Source organism: Homo sapiens, chromosome 2 (assembly GCF_000001405.40).
Source record: "Homo sapiens chromosome 2, GRCh38.p14 Primary Assembly".
Lineage (NCBI taxonomy): Eukaryota > Metazoa > Chordata > Mammalia > Primates > Hominidae > Homo > Homo sapiens.
The window spans coordinates 183,192,953-183,216,834 of NC_000002.12; the positions used below are offsets into that span (position 1 = coordinate 183,192,953).

The 23,882-nt window shown below is 36.6% G+C and overlaps 1 long non-coding RNA gene across 1 annotated transcript in view; it reads left to right on the top strand.

The window, feature by feature from the left end:
* The window catches only part of LOC124906103 (uncharacterized), a 41,076-nt gene extending 18,614 nt beyond the window's left edge, over positions 1-22,462 (top strand). Inside the window, exon 2 of the long non-coding RNA XR_007087332.1 lies at positions 1-22,462. This exon is cut by the window's left edge and continues 13,727 nt beyond it. This is a non-coding gene — a long non-coding RNA (uncharacterized LOC124906103).
* The last annotated feature ends 1,420 nt before the right edge of the window (positions 22,463-23,882 follow it).

Genomic DNA, 23,882 nt, shown 5'->3' on the forward strand with positions numbered 1-23,882 from the left:
ACGATTCATTCTAAGGGCTTTAAACATTTCTTTTTGTGTTGATGTTTAAATCTTTTATTATTAGTCTCATATTCTCCCTCAAGACTCAGAATTCTAGTACTCCTAATGAACATTTATGTCCGTTGGGCAGTCCTGCTGCCATCCTAAGCTACACATACTGGGAATGGAACTCAATCATCTTTTCTTTGCAAATCAGTGTCTCTTACCAATTTCTTTCATTCTGTTTACCCAGTCTTCTAGGTTTGAAATTTTGGGGTTGTTTTTAGGATTTTGTATTGCCTTCATTTTCTTAATTAATCAGAGTCCTTCTAGTTCTAGTCTAGAAATATGTTTCATATCTGCCATTCATGTTCCACTATGATTTTGACTGTCTTGCAGTTCCTGATAATTTTATGAATAGATTAATATAATGCTGTTTAACTTATTTTCTATATGCTTAATTCATTCTAGACATAGCTGGAAGACAGATCTTAAATTATAACTTTTTTTTTCCTATATGTTATTCAATGAAGAATAAACCTAGTTTAGTATTTCACTTGGTAAAGTGTAGTACGTCATGCATGAATTGCAGCATCAGGATCACTTGTGATATTTGCCAGAGGTGGCCATCCCACATCACCTAAATCAAATCTCTGGGCATGGATTCTGGGAATCAGCATTTTTAGAAGGCAGCATAAGTGATTCCGATGCACACTAACATTTGAGAACTACTGGAAAGGATAAAATTCAACCTAAAATTCAAAACCCTTTAACATATGGCCCTACCTTGTATATTCCAGTTTATTTTTCACTAGTTCTAATATAATCTTTTGCTCACTCTAACAGTCACTCTAGATATGCCACGATCAAATTGCTTCTGAGAATTTGTTTATAACCCCTTTATTCAGAATGCCTTATTTTTTTTTTTTGCATCCATCCTTCAAGCCCTTCTTCTTTATGGACTCTTTTAAGCTATGTATTAGTGAGCACCTACCATTTATGTCAGACACTTCATGGAAAATTTTTACTATCCATTAAGCAACCTAGGTATAATTGTTCCCATTTTACAACCAAGGACATTGAGACTTAGTGCAGTTAAGCAGCTTGCCCTAAGCCGTACAGGTAGTAAGGAGTAGAGTTTGATTCAAATCTAGGTCTAGGTTTGACGTGCTCCTCCCAGTGGTAGCTTTCAAGTTGGCTCTGTAGGCAGCTGCTTAACTAAAACCTACCTGGTTTTCTGTGTTTGTATGCTAGGGCTTTCCCACAGGTCACTTTTAAATACAGCTTAAATATTTTTAAAACCATTTTATGAGTTCTATTAGGACAGCTAGGACATTCAAATGGAAATTCATTAGATTATTATTTAACTGTTAAATGTGTGTCAGCTTCTCTGTAGTTGAGCCATAAGCTTCTTAGAGAACTGAAAGGAAATTTTAAAAAGCCTATCCCTTTCATCACCCAGTGTGGTAGTGGTTGTATTTAGTATGTATTCACCGAATATCTGCTCAGATTAAGTAGAATCCAGAACAGTGAAAGATGTACTTTCATTGAGTAGGAATCACTGGTTCCAGAAAACAAGAAATTGTTAGCATCTGAGGACAAAGACTACCAGTTATTTTAATGTTTTTTTAGAGCATTTTGAAGAAGATGGAAACTTAATAAAATTTTAATTATCATGTGTTTATCTTCAATTGGTGATTAGAAAATGTTTTCCAAACTTTTTGTGTTCAGCATGAAATAAAAACACAAAATAATTTTATTAGCAGAAAAGTTCTACTAATGTAACATAAAACTACAATGAAATATACAATTTTGGGATGTTATCGACTAAATATCATTAAGTTTCTCCTGCTATAGAATTTAATACTTGTTTGTCCATTGTAAAACATGAATATTACTACCTTACAATTTTATCTAACCTTCAATATATTTGTAGTTTAGGCCAAAAACATCTATGTTCTCATGTCACAAAAAAACATTTAGCTCAAGTGAATTGACTTCCTCTATCATAATCAACTCTATGTAATTAAGAAATTACTAAACCTTGAAGAGGAACAATCAATAAAGTAAACATTTTTGATCCATTACATATAATGTTAACTCTCAAGCATGTTTGGTGAAGCTATGCTTTCATATAATGCTTTCAATGCATTATTAGATAAGAAGACAAGTTCTCAGTAAGGTTGTGGTATATAAGTATTAATAAGCATTGAAGGCCTAACAGCACTGGCTGTCAAATCTGTGTGTATTAATGTGAATTAATGAGCTTTTCCTCTCCCAAGAGGAAAACAGTTTATTACAGGTTAAACAATGATGAGCAAAACACAGGCAATGCCAGTGTGATAGAAAGCCTTCAATTTAGAGAAGTGACCTTTAAAAGGGATTGCATAAATAACCCCAAGATAATCAGTTGGTATAATATTTTGGGTTTAGAGTTTAGATGGTAGTAAAAGCGTGTTTATTGATTGGTTTGATTTTTTAAAATTGTACCCCTTGGGAAATCACCTCAGTGCAGAATTAAAGTGAAAACACAATGATAACAACAAAACATGTATAACTAAAACTATCATAGAATGAAATACTGGTTTGAAAAAAATCACCCTTTTAATGTCACGCTATGGTGGAAAGTTAGGTATTTTCAATTCTCCAAATTACACAGAGAAACTAGAAAGCACTGATTATGTGTCTAGTTGTTGGTGTGGAAAGGATAATACCTTAGGACTATTAAACTAATACATTTCATTTTTAGTAATCCCTAGTTCCAAGTTGATCCAAGGCTGTGTTTAGAATCCTGCCAAGAGGACTCACATATTTGCTTTTATATTATAGCAAAGATATCATTCTATCATTTAGGCTGAGCAGTTAGGCTTAGCACCCAAAAGAAGGAAGATTTGATACTCTGGAAGACCTTGACAGAAGGAAAGTTAAAAAGCCTGTTCCTTCTGGTCTCAGAATATGTGAAAAAGAATTAATCAGACATAGGTTTCTGACTTCCCTTCTCCAGGCTAACAAGTTTGCAAGAAAGCCAAAAATAGAGTAGCTTTTGTTGAACTTTTCTTTTGGAATGTTCATATGAAGTTGTCACTTAGGGTGGCTCTGTGTCAACATGTGAAGTAATACATGGCAATGGTAGATGAAGGTGGCTACAAAGATGAATCTGAGGCAACGTACCTGGCTCTGAGAGTCCAGCTGTGTTTGGAGGGGGTGTTGCTGGGAATTTGCCCAAAGTGGTTTGCTGCAGTAGTTGGTGAGGCCAGACATTCAATGGGAGTCACCTCTAAACTCCATGAAGATAGCTGCACAGGAAGTAAGATTTAACTAGGGGTTGAATCAGTGACAGTTGGATGGGGTGGAGGTGAAGTGTCAGCAGGCCATTACTGAGCAAAGATAACAGACCTTATATTCCTTTGTAAAACAATGGCATATCTAAGGATTGCACCAGCCACCTCACAGTAGAGACCAGCACAAGGATGGCAGGCTACATGGAAGGGAAAATCCCTTGAATTCTGTAAGCTTTCCCCTATACCCAGATGTCAGCTTGGGAAGAGGAGGATGAAAAGTACAACTCTGAAATTGAGCTAAACTTTGAGTTGACTAAATATTTTACATTACAGAGGTTGTTTAAACTGGAGCTATCAATTGGCCATTTTGAGATAAGTCCTTGTCCTCTCACTTCCTTCCAAATAGGGTAGAATATTGAGAAGGATATTAAATGGAGTTATAGAAAATAAAATAGAATTTTTTTTTTGCACATTTCATTAATAGTATAAATTTGAGAATTTGCTAGTGAATCTGCTGTGCTTATCCCCACTCCCCAAGTCCTCACTCTCAGCTGAGCTGGCTTCCTTTTTCTCTAAGAAAATTGAAGTAATCTGAAGGGAATTTCCACAAGTTTTCATCGCTACATCTATTTACTTATAAATTTCTGTGACCATATACTCTGTCTTCACATCTGAGACATTAGAGGAGCTGTCTGATTCATCCAAAGGCAACTCTTCTACTAGGACCTTAGATCCTATCTCCTCTTACCTATTACAACTATTCTCACCTCTCTTTTGAGTAATCAATTTTTTTCTTGTTACCAATTATTCCATCATAAAACAAACATGGCTTATCTCTGACCATCGAAAACAAGTTCTCTCAATACAATCTCATTCTTCTTCATTCCCATATCTGTGTTTTCTTTATAGCAAAACTTCTCAAATACCTCCAATATCATTCTTCAAGTTCTTTTAAAACTTACTACAATAGGCTTTCACCCCAATCATTCCACTGAAACTACTCTTATGAAGGTAACTAATGACTTCCATATTGCTAAATAAAATGGATAATTCTTCATCTTCCTCTGTCTTGACTCATCAGCACTTAACACAGGCAATCACTTTTCTTTTTTCTCTTCCTTGACTGGCTTCCACTTCCCAGTCTCTGTTATTGGCACCTCCTCATCTTTCCAACTTCTCAATATTGGAAGCTCTAAGAGTTCAGTCCTGGAATGTTTTCTCTATTTTGTCTACACTTACTCCTTTTGTGTTCTCATTCAGTTTCATGGTTTTTAATATTATTTTATTATTTCTATGTGGACATCTCCCAAATTTTTATATCCAGCCTGAAAATGGGTCTTCTGAACTTTTACCTCCTATAGTGAATTGCCTACTCAACAACTCCACTTGGATATGTAATACGTATCTCAAATGTAACATGTACAAACAGAACCTTCCCCTTCTCAGCTGATGATAGCTACATCCTATGGTTGCTCAGGCCAAAGAGCCTTGGAGTCATCATTGATTCCTCCTTTTCTCTGACAATCTATATGAAAGCCATCAGCAAATCCTAGAATCCAGCTCTGTCTCACTACCTCCACTACCACTGTCGGTTTTTAGTCTCTCATCTTTGTCTCCCTAGAGTCTATTCTTAGCTCAACCAGAGTGATGCTTTGAATGTAAGTTATGTCACGTCTCTCCTCGGCTTAAAACCCTCAAATGGCTACCTACGTCCCTCAGAGTAAAAACTAAAGTTTGTATCCTGATCTATAAGTTCTTACAGTCTTCATGGCCCCTCTCCCCCACCTCTTTATCTCATCTTTTACTACTTCTCATTCTTACTCTGCATAGCTGCACCAGTTTTCTGTCTCTCAAACACACTGGGTACATTCTGATCTCAGGGCTTTTGCCTTTGCTCCTCTTTCTTTCTGGAAAGCTCATCCCTAATTTCTGCATGATTCAAGCTCTCACAGTATTTGTTTTTATTTCTCAAATGACACATTTTCAGTAGGACCTTCCTTGACTACCCTATTTAAAATTACAATCTCCACCCCTAATATGGCATTTCTTATCCTTTTTTCCTGCTTTGTTTTTCTCCATAGCTTTTATGACTTTCTGATATCCTGAACAAGTTATTGATTTTTTTTAATAATAAGGCTCTATTTTAATGTTGTGTGAATTACCAAGAAGTAGAGATTGACTGTAATTTCCCAAAGACAGAACATTCATTTCACAGCTACACAAGAACAGGGCTACGAGTGAAAAGGCACCCTAATTTGGGATAGTGTGAAGAAACATAGTTTGTGTTTTGGACAATTTATAGAGACAAATTTCCAGGGGACCTAAGAATACTGTTGGTCCATATGGATATAAAGTGAAAAATGAAAGAACTCATGCAAAAATCTATGCTATCTTTATTCTTCCTAGGTTAATTAAATCTCTATTTAATGCAAATTTTATAAGTGTATTCTGCTGTTATTGGAGAAAATGAATGTTTTCAAAGAATTCCTATGCTCCAACTTATGAAACCATACTCTGTCTAGACAAGGGCATAGGAGATATTTCTAAATACTAATAATAAACTCAGAAAAAGAGATAAAACCATCTTATTTACAATAGCATAAAAAACTTAGAAATAAATTTAAACAAAGAAGTGAAAGATCTGTACACAGAAAACTACAAAACATTGATAACAATGGAAGAAACATAAATAAATGGAAAGATATTCCATGTTCATGGATTGGAAGAATTAATGTTGTTAAAATGTTCATATTTACCCAAAGTGATATGTAGATATAATGCAATTCCTATCAAAATCCAATGACAGTTTTCATAGAAATAGAAAAAAAAATTCTAAAATTCATATGGAACCACAAAAGAGGGAGGCATTATATTACCTGCTCTCAATATTGACTACAAAGCTATGGTAATTAAAACAGTATGGTAGTGGCATAAAAACAGACACACAGACCAATGGAGAATAGAGAGTCCAGAAGTAAACCCAAACGCATACAGTCAACTAATTTTTGACAATGGCACCAATGAGATGGCATGGGGAAAGGTTAGTCTCTTCAGTAAATGGTGCTGGGAGAAAATATCCACAGGCAAAATAATAAAATCAGACCCTTATATTAAGGAATGCAAAAAAACAAAAACAAAAACCTCAAAATGGCTTAAAGACCTGCACATAAGACCTGAAACTACAAAACCCCGACAAGAAAACATAGGTGCAGAGCTCCTTGACTTTGGCCTTGGCAATGATTTTTTGCTTATAGCTCCAAAAGCACATGCAATAGAAGCAAAAATAAACAAGAGGGACTACATCAAACTAAAAAGCTTCTGCACAGCAAAGGAAACAATCATCAAAATGAAAAGGTAGCCTACAGATTGGGTGAAAATATTTGCAAACCATACATCTAATAAGGGGCTAATATCCAAAATATATAAGGAACTCACACAACTCAATAGCAAAAAAAATGAATAACCTGATTAAAAAATGGGCAAAGAACCTTAATAAATTTTTCCAAAGGAGACATAAAAACAGCAACAGGTATCTGAAAAGGTTCTCAACATTACTAATCATCAAGAAAATGCAAATCAGAACTGCAATGAGATATTACTTCACATCTGTTAGGATGGTTATTATGAAAAAGACAAGAGGTAGCAAATGTTGGGGAAGGAGTGGAAAAAAGAGAACCTTTGTACACTGTTGGTGGGAACGTAGATTGGTGCAGCCACTGTGGAAAACGGTATGGAGGTTTCCTACATAGTCCAAAACTAAATATAGAATTACCATATCTCCAAAATATGATAGAACTGTTATAATTCCAGAAATTAAATCTAGAACTACAATATGATCCAGCAATCCCACTTCTGGAAATATACCCCCAAGGAAATAAAATCTCCGCTCCTGTAGCTAGCTGCTGTCTCATGTTAACTGCAGCATTATTCACAATTGCCAAGATATGGAAACAATTAAAGTGTCCTTTGATGGATGAATAAAGAAATTGTGGTATATAATGAAATATTATTCAGCCTTAAAAAAGGAGATGCTGCCATTTGTGACAACATAGGTGAATGTAGAGGATGTTATGTGAGGTGAAATAAACAATACAAAAATACTGCATGATCTCATTTATATGTGGAATTTTTTTAAAAAATGAAATATGTAGAAACAGTAGGACAGTGGTATCAGGAGCTGGGAGATGGGAGGTAGGAAAGTGTAGGCCAAAGGATACAAAGTCACAATTATGCCCAACGAGTAAATCTAGAGTCTAATGTACAATATGAGGGCCAGGTGCAGTGGCTCATGCCTGTAATCCCAGCACTTTGGGAGGCTGAGGTGGGCGAATCACTTGAGATCAGTAGTTCATGACCAGCCTGGACAACATGGTGAAACCCCGTCTCTACTAAAAATACAAAAATTAGCTGGGTGTGGTGGTGGGCACCTGTAATCCCACCTACTTGGGGGGCTGAGAGAGGAGAATTGCTTGAACCCGGAAGGCGGAGGTTGCGGTGAGCCAGGATTGCCCCGCTGGACTCCAGCCTGGGCAACAGAGTGAGACTCTGTCTCAATAATAATAATAATAATAAATGTACAACGTGAGGACTATAGTTAATAATATTGTATTATATACTGGTAATTTGCCAAAAGAATAAATTTTAGATACTCTTACCATCAAAAAAAAAAAAAGAGAAAAGAAAGGTAACTGAGATTATAATTTGCTAAACTGTAATAATCCATTTACTATGTGCGTGTTCATTATATATATATATATATATACACACACATATACATAAACATGTTGTAGCCCTAAAATCTATGCAATAAAATTTAAAAAATAAAAACACCCAAGATGTCTTTTCCTCCTAATTAAATTTATATTTGCTATAAATTTAAGTTTATTGTCCCATTCCAAGTGCTAGTGAAGGATTTCAAAGAAGTCCTTTGTTCGATGTTATTAGCGATATCCTACTGTATCTATACCAAGGCATGGGAGGCACTGACGATTGCAACTAAGACTTACCAAACCACAGGGGTTCTCAAAATTTAGGGTGGGTAAGAATCACTTGGAGTAGGTTGGGAGTTGAAGAAAACTTGTTAAAAATGCACATTTCCTGGCTGTAACATAAGGTATTCTGAACCAATAGATTTGGGGCCTAAGTTGGTAATCTGCAGTTTCAGTATGCTCCTCTGGTGATCTTGAACAGGTGGTCCATCTCGCCTCCTTTGGGAAACACTGCACCAATGTTTATTATCGTAGAAGAAAATTACATAGAAGAAATCTAGAAGAAATTTCAACGAATTTTAGAACACTGAAGAATTTAGGGGTCCAGATAGCTTTCTTATTTTTTTGTTGTTCAAATCTTATCTTTTGTAAGAGAAATTTGAATAGCTAGGGACATTGGTGATATCAGAAACCTAGATTTCACTTCCTCTATCATTGTTTATAAAATCAAAACGATGGAGTCCTAAGAACAGACTAAATTTATTTTATAAACACCAAAAGAATGTATTTGATAGGAAACTAGCACCTGATCAAAGTGAATATTGACATGGAGGGAGAAATTTCCTGAGAAGGCTGTAAAACTGGCGTTATGTTAGTTTACAAGAAAATGAAGCTGCATGAAGAGGATATTTATTAAATAGTGAAACATTAGGTCTCTCTGTTGTTTGAATTATTTACAGCAAACAAAATACTTTTAGGTAAAATATGTAAACGAATACGCAGATAAGAAAATGGACACAGGTTTTTTTCATGCGTCTTGTAACCGTTTAAAGGAGACCATTGGATTTAGTGCTTAACCAATATATGTTTTATTGTGCAAACCAAGTATTTGGATATTAATATTTTAAAAAACTGATAAAGTCTTTATCAACTTTTACTGAACACCATATTATCTACTTGACTGTTACATTGCTTTAAGAGTCCAGTCTCGACTCACCTGTGATCCTAAGTGAAAAATAAATAACATGAGATCATTAAAATTTCCTACTGAGTTAAATTCAGATTGAATCCAGATATCTAAAAGTAAAAGTCAAAGTAACACTATCATAAACAATCTATATTAGCTTTTCAATTAATAAATAAATTTTTTTAGAGATGGAGTCTATATTATCCAGGCTGGTATTTGACTCCTGGGTTCAAGCAATCTTCCCATCTCAGCCTCCCAAGTAGCTGGGACTGTAGACATGCACCACTATGCCTTGCTGACTAGAATCTGTATTAGATTTTTAAAAATAAACTTTTTTTTTTGAATAATCTGAGATTTACAGAAATGTTTCAAAGACAGTATAAAGTTTTCGTTTTCCTCATTTTTTCTCTTTTTTTCTTGATTTAATTGACACATAACAACAATATATTTATATGGTGCAATGTGATGTTTACTTATATGTATATGTTGTAGAATGATTCCTCTTATGTCCCTTGCCCAGTCTCCCCTAAAGTTAACGTTGTATATCATCATAGTACATTTTTGAAAACTAAGAAAATAAGCTAGCCATGGTGGCTCACACCTGTAATCCCAGCACTTTGGGAGGACGAGGTAGGAGGATCGCTTGAGTCCAGGGGTTCAAGACCAGCCTGGGCAAAATAGGGAGACCATGTATCTACAAAAAATACAAACATTAGCTGGTCATGGTGGCATGTGCCTGTAGTCCCAGCTACTCAGGAGGCTGAGGTGGGAGGATCACTTGAGCCCCAGAGGTTGAGGCTGCAGTGAATTGTGTTTGCGTACTCCAGCTGGGGCAACAGAATGAGACCCTGTCTCAAAACAAAAAACAACATTGGTGCATTGTTATTAATTAAGCCCTAGACTTTATTTGGATGTCACTGTTTTCCCGCTAATGTCCTTTTGTTCTTTCAGGATCCAATTCACAATACTTTTGGTACATTGGCTGTATATATAGATGTAAAGGGCTGCATAGGCTGTACACTGCACTACTCTGGGGGTGCCATTTACATTGCTGTGCCAGGCACTGTTCATAATGCTTTACATCTATTAACTTGTTTAGTCATCACGGAAGCTCTAAAAGGTAGGCAATATAATTATCCCTATTTTACAAGTATGGGCATTGAGGACAAAGAGATTCGGTAACCTTAAAAGATCACTTAGCTAGTAAGTGGAGAAACTGAGATTCTAGTTACACAGCCTGTGCTCTTAGAGACATTCCGAATCGGCGAGCTTCCTATCCCAACTGACCAGCTATAAGAACACACTTCTTATTCCAAGGAACTGACTGATTGACCTTAAGCAAGTCACTCAATCTCTCTGGACCTCTGTTTGCTCATCCATGAAAGTGTAGAAGTGGATTACATAATCTATACAAGTTTCCTACCTTTAAAACAAATGTATAACATTGAAACATGTATCTTTAAATTTAATTTCCAGCTCAGAGACCTACTGCATTTTTGTACTCTTGCCAATCAACTTTTAAAAAATAAAACGTTCATTAAAATCAGAATATTGAATATTAAAATTCCAATTATATTTTTAAGGAGGATCTATATATCACATTGAGACACTTCTTTTTTTGCCTCGGGTTGTTAGCTTGTTGATTTTGAATTTTATATCATGCTTTTGAATACTACTCAATTTTACATATGCCCTTTGTATGCCAATAAAACTAAACTAAATGTCACTTCTTATGTAGGAATGCACAAGCAAATAAACAGTATATAGCCACATATTTCAGTAGATTAAACTCAGTTGAAATTATCCCACATGCTGGCACTGTAATATGCTATTGATCTCAGATTGCATTTTCTGTTTCTTTATAATTGAATTTTGTTCCCAAATGAAAGAGCATGTTCATTTTCAGTTTGTGTTTAGTGAAACAAAAACTGCATCTGGGATCAGTTTCATCATGTGCCCAATGGAGGACTAAGTATGAAGTATACCACCTTCTTGGAAGAGATTGTTTTTCCCTGAAAGTGCTAAATTTTAGATCTGAACTGCCATAAAAATTCTTCATGATTATATCCACAAATCAGGATATACACAAAACTATGGATTTTTCCCCTATGAATGACAAGTAATGGAAGATATGCTGTAATTACATAAATTAACCCATCTCTAGAGACTAAGGGAAATTAAGATCGAAGGAAGTAGGACAGAGGGCTTAAAAATAAAACAAAAAAGACCTTAAAATAGAAAATAGTATGCCAAAACTAGAGGTGATTTTCTTTCTAATGCTAGACCTTCCTTTGATTCTTTTAATTACAATGAGACGGAAATTTTAGGACACTAAGGGAGACAGATTATTCAAAGGCTTTTGCATGCCCTTTATTCTCTTTCAAATACAATACTCCCCATAATAGTGTAATACTATTAATCATACTGCTTTCAGCCCTCTACCTGAAGGTGACAGTCTTCAGCTGTTCCAGAAGGTCCTGGGTCCCAAAGTTCCTGTTACTCACTGCTGATTGGGCACAGATGAGAGTGCCTAGTTTTCATTCAGCAGCCTGTTGTGGGTACAGGGTTATGGCTGCAATGAAGCAGGGCCTTTCTGATCCTTTTTATTACTCTTCTTTCATGGGGGAGGAGAGAGATAAAGTGCCTACAGTAAAATGCAGTTGCAATACATTCACTCTCACAACTCATTTTTCAAACCCCAGGGAAGACTTCCCTACATCTCTTGACCTAAGTCCTTGAAACAAAATGCAGCTGCATCCTTATGCTGTGAAATTTGTGTGTGGTGGTGGTGTTCACATCGGAGAAGGACACTGCTTCAAAGCATGGGGAGAATGTGAGCAGAGCAAACACTTAAGTGGGAGAAAGGCAGATTGACTTTCCAAATTCTTCCAATCGGAAGGCATGAATGCTGATCCCCACAGTGCCTAGTGTCATTTTCTTGTTTCACTTGGTGTCCAGCATGAGATTTTGGAAGTACTTATGTGTTAGTAAGGTATTCTCAATGGTTGCACATGGTTGGTGAGAAATATTTTGCAATGGTGAGCAATTTATTTTTCAATGTGTGTCTATTTAGGTATGTATGAATGTAGGTATTACATTTATCTGCATGTATGTATTCTTAAATTTTTATTAAAAATTAAACAATCTTAAATGTAATATGTTTTAAGCATAACACATTGGCAGCTAGCACATTAGCATTGAATATTAGAATTATAGATGCTTTTATTTTCTAAAGTATTTATTTTATTAAAAACTCTTTTTTTTTTTTTTTTTTAAAGAAATGGGGGTCACTTTATGTTGCCCAGGCTGGACTTGAACTCTTGGGCTAAAGCAATCCTCTTGCCTCAGTCTTCCAAGTAGTTCTGGGATTACAGGCACTGCTATTTTTCTAAGTATTTAATAATATTAATTAAATTTTCAAAAAGTTAGGCAAAAAATTAATTTTAAATAACTGTGATTTAAAAATCGATTCTGTTAATATGTGTACCTTTTAATTTTAAGAAATAGTTTTGAATATTTTAAGAGAGAAATAAACTATTTGAAAATATGAGCCAAATGGTTAATATTGAGTGTCAACTTGGTTGGATTGAAGGATGCAAAGTATTGTTCCTGGGTGTGTCTGTGAGGGTGTTGCCAAAGGAGATTAACATTTGAGTCAGTGGACTGGGAGAGGCAGACCCACCCTCAATCTGAGTGGGCACCATCTAATCAGCTGCCAGCGGGCTATAATAAAGCAGGCAGAAGAAGTTGGAAGGACTAGACTTGCTGAGTCTTTTGGCCTTCATCTTTCTCCCATGCTGGATGCTTCCTGCCCTCAAATGTCAGGCTCCAAGTTCTTCAGGTTTTGGACTCTTGGACTTACACTAGTGATCTGCCTGGGACTCTGAGGCCTTCGGCCACAGACAGAAAGTTGCACTGTCTGTTTCCCTACTTTTGGGATTTTGGGACTGCCTTCCTTGCTCCTCAGCTTGCAGATGGTCTGTAGTGGGACTTTACCTTCTGATCGTGTGAGTCAATACTCTTTCATAAACTCTCCTTCATGTATACACTTATCCTATTAGTCCTGTCCCTCTAGAGAAGCCTAATACAATGAGGAATAATTTAATTTTTCAGTTTTTTAGCACTTAATTTATATTTTTGGTGCAAATATATCCACATTTGAACACTTTGAAGACAATTACATTTACTTTTTAATTCTTTAAATAATTGAGGGTGAATACAAGTCAAAATTGTGATAAAAATAGATTGAGTAGAAATAGCAATCATTTGGTTATGCATGCCTGTAGTTTCAGCTACTCAGGAGGCTGAGGCAAGAGGATCCCTTCAGCCCAGGAGTTCAAGGCTGTAGTGCACTATGATCATGCCTGTGAATAGTCACTGCACTCCAGCCTAGACAATCTAGCGAGACACCAACTCTTAAAAAAAAAAGACAAAATTGACTATCACTTTTTAAGCACTTCTCTCAGAAATGAAGCTCAGGAAAGAAGAAAATTGGGGAAAAAGCTGGGGTTGGGGGGAATAGAAAGACTTGCTTCCGACAAACAGAATAAGGCAAAATGAGAGTGTTATGTCTTCTGAGGACCAGGTTGCAAAGATAGTGTGACTTCTTTCTTTTGGATCTCTTGCTCTGTGGGAAACTAGCTGCCATGCTTTGAGGACACTCAAGCAATTCAATGGAGAGAACATACAGCAAAGAACTGAAGCCTCTTGCCCACAGCTACATGGGTCAGCCATTTCAGAAATGAGTCCTGTGGCCTCATTTCAGCCTGGAGGAGACTGTAGCCGCAGTTGACATGTGAACCTTCTGAGAGACTGAGCCACGATGACCCAGTTTAGCTGCTTCCAAATTCCTGACCTACAGGAATTAACAACAAATATATATTGTTTTAAGCTGCTATATTTTTGAAAATTTTGGTTATGTGGGAATAGGTAATTAATACAACCTGTTTTAATCTATTCTCATAACAGCAACCAAACCATGTTTTAAAAATATGTCAGATCATTTTGTCCAGTTTTTTTCATCAAAGAGAAAAAGTCAGATCATGGACTTCTCACAACTGTCCTATGGCTGTCCATTTCCCTCAGAGCAAAATCCAAAGTCTTTAATGGCCTTCAAGATCTGGCCCCTTCTCTCACTGTTCCCTCACTGACCTCAGCTCCTCCTTTCTCTCTCACTCAGCTTCAGCCACCCTCTTCTCTTTGATCTTCCTCAAACATCCCAGGAATGCTCCCACTTTAGAACTGTTGTACTTGTGGTTCCTGCCAACCAAAATCCCAGATAGCCACACAGCTAACTTCCTCATTTCTTTCAAATCAGCTTAAATGTTACTGTTCCAATGATGTATATACTCTGATCACTCTATTATATTTAAAATCGCACTGCTATCTCTTGCTTTGGGACCCCTCATGCCATTTGTCATGCTTTAATTCACACTAACATATAATTTCCTTTTTAATGTTTATATTATATAATGCTTATTTTTTACTGTTTTCTTCTCCCAAATCGCAGGAATTTTTGTTACTTTGTTTATTGATATAAACAAAAACTTGCCTAAAATCGTGCATGGCAGATAGTAGGTGCTCAATATATGTTTGTTGACTGATTTCCTCATTCCCAGCACCTCACTTTCAAAGCACATCCCTCAATAGCAGGCACTCATTCAGTTTAAGGCACTGAATCCTAAGGCTTGTATGATCCATCTGAGGCTTTTGAAGAATATATGCAAACACCATAAATATGGCCATCATTCATTCATTCACTCAATAAATATTTTTTCTTGAATGCTTTTTAGATTACAGGCATTTTGCTTGGTACTGAGGATACAAACATAAATAAAACACAGTTATGATCTAAAGAAAGTTATAGTTTAATAGGAAGAAAAAGCAAACAGTTCATTACAGGAAATGGGAAAGGGTGGTAAGTTAAAGATGCTTTGGGGATACCTAAGTAGAGATATATTTGTCTATAGAGTTTATGGGAGAGGTTTGGGCAAGACGTATATTTGGTTGTCATTGTCATATAGGAAGTGAATGAAGTCACTCAGGAAGAATATACACAATGGAAATAGGAGGTCCAGAATCAAATTTTGAGAAATATTTGCAGTGAGAAGGAGAGGATGTAGTTACAGAGGCAGTTAAAAGTATTTTTGTTCTTTTCCTTTTGGGCATGGGATAGGATTGCATTTCTCTGGTCACCGTGAAGTTATAACCACATTGCTAGCTTTGGCCAATGGAATGTTACCAGAAATGATGTGTGTAACTTCTCGGCACAGGCAATACACCAGTCAGCCGGTTCCCTTCTCCTTGGCTTGATGATTTGAAATGCATTTGTCAGAGGCATTGGAACCAGAGCAACTCCATCTTGAATGGGGACTGGATAAAATGAGGCTGAGACCTACTGGGCTGCATTCCCAGATGGTTAGGGCATTCTAAGTCACAGGATGAGATAGGAGGTCGGCACAAGATACTGATCATAAAGACCTTGCTGATAAAACAGTTTGCAGTAAAGAAGCCAGCCAAAACCCACCAAAACCAAGATGGTGATGAGAGTGACCTCTGGTCATCCTCACTGCTACTTCCCATCAGCGCCATGACAGTTCAAATGCCATGGCAATGTCAGGAAGTTACCCCATATGGTCTAAAAAGAAGAGGCATGAATAATCCACCCCTTATTTGGCATATCATCAAGAAATAACTATAAAAACGGGTAACCAGTAGCCCTCAGGGTTGTTTTATGGAGTAGCTATTCTTTATTCCTTTACTTTCTTAATAAGCTTGCTTTCACTTTATGGACTTGCTCTGAATTCTTTCTTGCACGAGATTTAAGAACCCTCTCTTGAGGTCTGGATCGGGACCCCATTCTGTAACATGTTGACATGGAGCCTCTGTCAACCTGTTTTCCTTAGTGATTATCAATAGTGAAACTCCTCAAGACCTGTCTTGGTCTTGTAGTGTGGGTGAGACATACACTTTTGTTGGGTTAGGCCACTGACCTATTTGTTACCACACCATAACCAAGTCTATCCTAAGGATTCAAGGAGAGTCTTAGGAAAAGAAGACTTTATTTTTTATTTTATTTTATTTTTTTTTGAAACAAGAAGGGGACTCTTGTTTTATTTAGAAGTAATTTTAGATTTTTGAAAAGTTGCAAAAACAGCACAGTAGTTTCCAATATATACCCCTCACCCAGCTTCCACAAAACCACGGGCCGATGATTAAAACCTGGAAATTAACAATGATCCTGTCCTATTAATAGACTGCACTAAAATCTCACCAGTTGCTCCACTCGTGTTTTTTCCTTGTCTAGATCTTACTCACATTTAGGTGTCATGTCTTGTTTGTCTTCCCCAGTCTGGGATGGTCCCCAGTCTTTTTCTGTCTGTCATTACTGTGATGCTTTGGAAGAACTCAGGCCAGTGGCTTTGTGGCACATCTCTCCTTTTGGGTTTCCCTGATGGTTTCTCAGGATTAGTTGGAGGTTCTGCATTCTTGGCAGGACCCCCATGGAGTGATGCTGTGTCCTGAGTATTTCATCATGTGGATGTGTCCTCATACAGGTGACATTAACTCTGATCGCTTGGTTAAGGTGCTGTCTGCCAGGTTTCTGCACTGGAAAGGTACTATTTTTTTTTTTTTTTTTGGTCAAAGGAGCAGGGTATAAAAGGCAGGGCATGAAATCTGAGAGCAGGCATGCATCAGGAATTAGGAACCAGGAACTGGGAGCTGAGGCTGCTGCTCTCTGAGGAAAAGGAGACTTTCAAGAAGATTTAAAAAGAATGGAGAAAGAAGATTCAAGAAGATGAAGATGTCAAATGCCTCATTGCAAAATATAGATTGGAAAGTGTTCCTTTAATTTGGCATTTTGTGGGTCATTTGTGATTTTGGTAAATTATGCAATGTGAAAAAATAGACAGTTTCTTTCAAATGGCAAGCAATTAAAGAAAAAAAAGTCATAAGTGTGGGCTGTAGCAACAGTGAGGCTCTTATTGTTGTCATTGTCTGACAGAAATCTGAACTCTGATCCCACAAATTTCTCTGCTCCCTTTTCCCTGCTCACTTTGAACTGAAGAACCTCTTTACTCCTTCCTTCCTTTCCCTCCCTCTTATCTCCTTGCCTCCCTGTAGATTCCATCACAGCTTCCTCCATCCTTTTTTTTCAATTATACTTTAAGTTCTAGGGTACATGTGCACAACTTGCAGGTTTGTTACATATGTATACATGTGCCATGTTGGTGTGCTGCACCCATTAACTCGTCATTTACATTAGGTATATCTCCTAATGCTATCCCTCCCTCCACCGCACAACAGGCCCCAGTGTTTGATGTTCCCCTTCCTGTGTCCATGTGTTCTCATTGTTCAATTCCCACCTATGAGTGAGAACATGCGGTGCTTGGTTTTTTGTCCTTGCGATAGTTTGCTGAGAATGATGGTTTCCAGCTTCATCCATGTCCCTACAAAGGACGTGAACTCATCCTTTTTTATGGCTGCATAGTATTCCATGGTGTATATGTGCCACATTTTCTTAATCCAGTCTATCATTGATGGACATTTGGGTTGGTTCCAAGTCTTTGCTATTGTGAATAGTGCAGCAATAGACATACGCATGTGCCTTTATGGCAGCATGATTTATAATCCTTTGGGTATATGCGCAGTAATGGGATGGCTGGGTCAAATGGTATTTCTAGTTCTAGATCCTTGAGGAATTGCCACACTGACTTCCACAATGGTTGAACTAGTTTACAGTCCCACCAACAGTGTAAAAGTGTTCCTATTTCTCCACATCCTCTCCAGCACCTATTGTTTCCTGACTTTTTTTTTTTTTTTTTTTTTTTTTGAGACGGAGTCTCGCTCTGTCGCCCAGGCTGGAGTACAGTGGCGGGATCTCGGCTCACTGCAAGCTCCGCCTCCCGGGTTCACGCCATTCTCCTGCCTCAGCCTCCCAAGTAGCTGGGACTACAGGCGCCCGCCACTACGCCCGGCTAATTTTTTTGTATTTTTAGTAGAGACGGGGTTTCACCGTTTTAGCCGGGATGGTCTCGATCTCCTGACCTCGTGATCCGCCCGCCTCGGCCTCCCAAAGTGCTGGGATTACAGGCGTGAGCCACCGCGCCCGGCCCCTGACTTTTTAATGATCGCCATTCTAACTGGCATGAGATGGTATCTCATTGGGGAACATCTTAAAAGAAAAGCATATAATTGCCATTTGCACTTCCTCACCTCTTTATCCACTCTTCAGCCTACTGCAAATTGACTTTTGACCTCTTTAATCTACTGAAATGGCTCATGCAAAGAGACTTTTTATAAAAATCACATATAATTTAGATTTTTTATTTTCTGCATAAATCTCTTTAATTTTATGTGATAATACAGTGCATGATTATTTGTTGAGCCGTTAATTTTGTATTAGCCAAAGAGAAAGTTGAACCTGTCAGTTAAACTGGGTGGAATAAGAAATAATATTTTAAAATTAGCAGTAAATAGAAACTTGCACAATAAAAATATTTTTGTGTCACTTGAAATATTACCATTGGTTGCAAGTTTTAAAGATGTAAAAGGTGTCTTCTTTCACGTTCACTTTTTTTTTCAGTAGAGATACTGACTGCAGGCAGCTTGCCTCTTTTGTTTTTTTGGCTTATAGTCACAGTATTTGAGCACAAATTTAATGAAGCATTGTTTAATTGAGACTTCCCTGTAGTGACACAACAATATTGCAAATTTTTTTCATAGGCATTTCCTCACTTAATTCTCAAACAAGTTTTGTCTTTTTTTTTTCATCACGATATCTGTAGACAGGATCAAACAACTTTTGAAGGGTATTTGATTTCCCCCTATTTACAGATTTAAGAAACTGAAACTCAAAAGAGACAAATTGCCACATTCATCCTGCCACAGGGTGTGTGTGTGTGTGTGTGTGTGTGTGTGTGTGTGTGTGTGTGTGTGTGTGTTTTCTGACTCTAAACGTAGAGCAGTTTCTACTATGCCCCAGCCACTTGGATGTAGTATGTGTACAAAAGTGACAACACGATATAGTGATTCTTCAAAGTAGGTTTATTGTTCTAATTGACATTTTTCTTCAAACATTATAGGATTATACATTTCCAACAATTTTAAGCAATTTTGATGCTTATCAAAATGTTGTATATTTAATAAGTTTTTGCATTAAATGAGTTTAGGTTGGCAATAAGGAACCACCATATACTTTAATAGATACTATTTCATACCACAGTTGTGTTGTCTTTAATACAGAGATGAGTGTTTAATACTCTTTTGCAATGGGAAGAAGTTAAAGGAGTTTGAGTTAAAATAGTGAGAGAAATAATTGAATATGATTGTTACCTTAAATATAGCCACAGTCTGTTGATTTAAGCTTCAGTTAGTCCTAACATATTCAACATATTCATAACAAAATTTTTTGGGCATCTCTGGCTCATTTATTAATACCTATGAACCTGCAAAACACTGCTGTATTTGTAAGACTGATATGTATGGGATAATGTATGCGATAAGCAAAAATCTTAGTTTTCTAGCTAGCTTTTGAAATGAAAGTAATGGAAACATGACTACTCAGATTTAAAAAAACCAGGCTTTACCTTTCGTAGTTCAATTTATATTAGTACAAATTCTTCTCAAAGGTGGTCTCCTTGAGAAGGTGCACAGGCTACTGGAAATAGTGAAGACAGTAATAAGAAGAAGATTAACTGGCTTACTTACCAAGAAAATGAATTCAGGAAATTTGATTCTCGTAGAGATCTAGAACAAGCAAACAGGATGAACAACCACTTATTTTGGAATAGTGTATTTAAATTTGAGAAAGAGTGATCTTTTCTTTCTCCGAAGGGTTAAGAATGTGATCAAAAGCCTGGAGCTGAAAGAAGGATAATATGTATGGGAGACAGTGAGGACACTTGCCTGACCAGAGCAGGTGAACACCTATGTACAATAAAGCTAGATTGTAGTGGCTGCAGTGGGTGTTGAAATACATGTTGAATGCAACAAAGAGGTATTAAAATTTCTTGAATGTTAATAGATTGGCCTAATCCTGGGTTTTAGGCAGAGCATCCTACAACCTTAACAAATGGTGAATTTGGAAGCAACTAGACTCAGGGAGATCAGCTATACTGTTTTGTAGAATTTTGAATTTCATAAGCCAATAAAGCTCCTAGAAAATTCTTAAGGACTAACATATGGTTATCAATTATTTATCTTGAAGGAAAGAATATTTTAAAAACCCCAACAACAAAATATAAACAGTAAATTACCACATACTATCTTCACTGTTTCATACAGGAATGAAATTTTAACATCAAATCAGCAGGAAGGACATACTCCCAGAGTAAAGGACACAACACTAAGATGAATAAACTTGATGTTCTTAGAGACCTACCACATTGCCTCTGTTTTCTCACTTTCTCCTCTACCTGTAACTCTGTGATATAGCTGCACAGATACTCAGAATGATAGCTGAGATCCACTGAGCTAAGAGAATACCGTAATTACTCAGGCATAACATAATGAAAACCTGGGAAAGAAGAAGAAAGAATAAGAGAAGGAAGGGAGAGGATGGAAGAATGATAGCCCATGGCAACAGATTGAATATAGAAAGTAAAAGAAGAAAGTGAAAGCTACCTGCAAAAATTATACTATGATCTCATGTCGTTTTTTGTTTGTTTGTTTTGTTTTGTTTTGTTTTTTGAGACGGAGTCTCGCTCTGTCTCTCAGGCTGGAGTGCAGTGGCGTAATCTCGGCTCACTTCAAGCTCCACCTCCCAGGTTCATGCCATTCTCCTGCCTCAGCCTCCCGAGTAGCTGGGACTACAGGCGCCCGCCACCACGCCTGGCTAATTTTTTGTATTTTTAGTAGAGATGGGTTTTCACTGTGTCAGCCAGGATGCTTGTATTGTTTTTAATAGTCAGTATTGCACGTAACACTGCCCTAATTCATCTCTTAACAGAGTCTGTGGGTTGTCATATCAATTGATTGATGTCTTGCTGTCTTCTTTTTCAGGACCAGAAACCAGAAATGCAATTTGCCAAGCATATGAAGAATATGTTTTTACTGGTTTTTGATAACTTAAAATACTTCTTCATCTAAAACCAGGCTGATCTTGAGAAAGATTTTAAAGGAGATTAGAAAATTCACTTTAACAAACCACTATCATATAGTCACATCAATCTTTCGTAGATATTTTTGCAAACAATTACCAGAATTCTTAGAGTTTATTACAGATATTTTGTTCTTGACCTTTGACACTTGCCATTTAGCAATTGCATGGTTTTACTTTTGTGGTTGTAGAGTTTCTGTTTTTCTTTCATTAGAATGATGTAAGTAGAGGAATAGAAACTGTTATATTTGCAAAAAAAGAGCAAAGATGCTTTGTGACCTTGGGAATTATATTTGAAGGTTACTCACAAGAGAATACCTTGTTTAGGAAAGATGGTTAATTTTTTTCTTGCAAGCAGACTTTTTTACAAAATTAGTTAATGGCAAATGTGTTCTTTGCTGAATATTAATCTATAGTATCATTTAAGATGTTCTTAATTTATGTTTCTGGACTTTGTTTAAATGTCAAACTCTAGAAAGGGTAAACTAGCTCACCCCACTGCTAGGTAATAGCTAGTATTGTCTTCGCTGCAGGGCATTTTACAGTAAAATTTTGAAGTATATTGAAAAAAGTTACCAGTTCACTTACTATACAATAGCTTGGAATGTGAATGTCTGAAAGAAGAAAAATTCAATAAATGACTATGTAGTTATTTGGTGGAATTCACAACATAATAACAAGAAAAGGTTTTCAGCTTTGATCATAATGGAAATGAGTCATTTAATTTTACCCTCAGTCCTGGTACACAGTTTCAGCACCTGCTAAGAAGTCGGCTTGCATTTAAATGACTTAGGCAATTATTAAAAGCAAGTTTCAAGAAATAAATGGCATTTATATAAAAAGGAGACTGGGCTCAAACTGCTAGTGCTTTAAATTTCCATAAAAGCAAATTCAAGTTCAGAACAGGATTCAGGATTTAGTAACAATTCAAAGGTTTTCAATCCCTTAATCTCTTTGTGATAACTATATTCATCATGTAGCCATTTTTAAAAGGAAGAGAATAAAAATGTTAACATTGATGTCTACCAGCACTTGTGACTGAAAAATTGATTATATATGGTAAATACTTATGGCTCCAAATAGCTATTTGATTTATAATTTTGGTATTGAAATGTAATGAAATACTTCTATTGTATTTGCAATCGCTGGAAGAGTAGTATGAATCATACTTCAAATAAAAATGCTTCTTTTTATCATTTTTCCCAAATGTTTTGAGTGTAAGAATGCTGTTTCCTTTTCTCTCAGGTCTACATATCTTTACTCATCATCTCAAAGGTGATTATTTTGTAACTTGACCTTAGTCTTGCAAAGGAGCTCTATTTAGAGATTTAAATATAGTATTAACTTAGAAAATAAATTTCAACTATTCATACTGTTTTACCTAGAGTTATTACATTATTAAGAGTAAATATCTTATTAAACTCAATAGGGAGCCACAAAATAGATAAGATTTCTAAAGGAGGTAACTGAGTGTATATAAAATAACTGATGAAAAATAAAAGTTAAGAAAATGGGGCAGCTAAATCATCTGTCAACAGTATTTATATTGAAAAGACATTGTAAATATTAACTTCAGTTTTTCTAGCTTGCCATATGGAATTGCTATAATTGGAAGACAAAACAAAATGTGGGAAGTACCTGACATTTCACTTAAATTTATTTAAACAAAGTTTGTATATGTTCTGAGCCACCTACTATTTTTGAGGCACTATTCTAAGTGCTTATATTTCTTAGCTCACTTAATCTTCACAATATCATGAGGTGGAAACTTTTGTTTTTGACCATTTTACAGATAAGGAAACTCAAACAAGTACAATCTAGACCTCCAAATGGACACGTGCTGCTTAGTAGCTATGTGGCCTCTGTTCTGAGTCCTGTGACCATTTCAGAGTTATAGTTCATAATTCCTTCTCATGTCCTGTAGTCCTGTCACCAAGTGCTATAATTTCATCATTTCCTTGGATTGTTCTTTCTTGTTTTTGCCTGGGTTATCTCCATTTATGCCTGAATGACCATATATCATAGTCTCTTAGTTTAGTGAATTTCAGGCATCAGTCTGAGGACTTGAGTTGATTTGTGAAGAAATTTCAGCATCTGCTCTCTTAACCTAGTGATTGACTTCCGGGTTTCAAAAAATGGTTCCTACACAACAGCTATTATTATAGATTGCTGTAGGAACTACTCTTTGCAGCCATTTATTAGCACTCGCAGGGCCACTTTCTAATCTTCTGAAGGCTCTTTCTGCATCCATGCTCGTTCTCTCTATTTTGCTCTCATTATACAGCTGCCAGAACCGTTATTTTAGAATGTGATATAGTTTGGTTCTTTGTCCCCATCCAAATCTTATGTTGAATTGTAATCCCCAGTGCGGGAGGTGGGGTCTGGTGGGAGGTGTTTGGGTCCTGGGAGCAGACCCTTCATGGCTTGGTGCTGTCTCCATAACAGTGACTGAGTTCTTGCAAGAAAAAATACTTCTGTAAGGACATCTGCCCAGCAACTGCTGGTTCAACTGCCTGGGCTACTGTCACCCTTGTTATTGATCCTCGTAGCCAAAGAAAATTATCTCAAAACAATTGTGTAATCCCCTCATTTTTCCTTTAAAAAATTATTTTATCTCTGTCAGTATA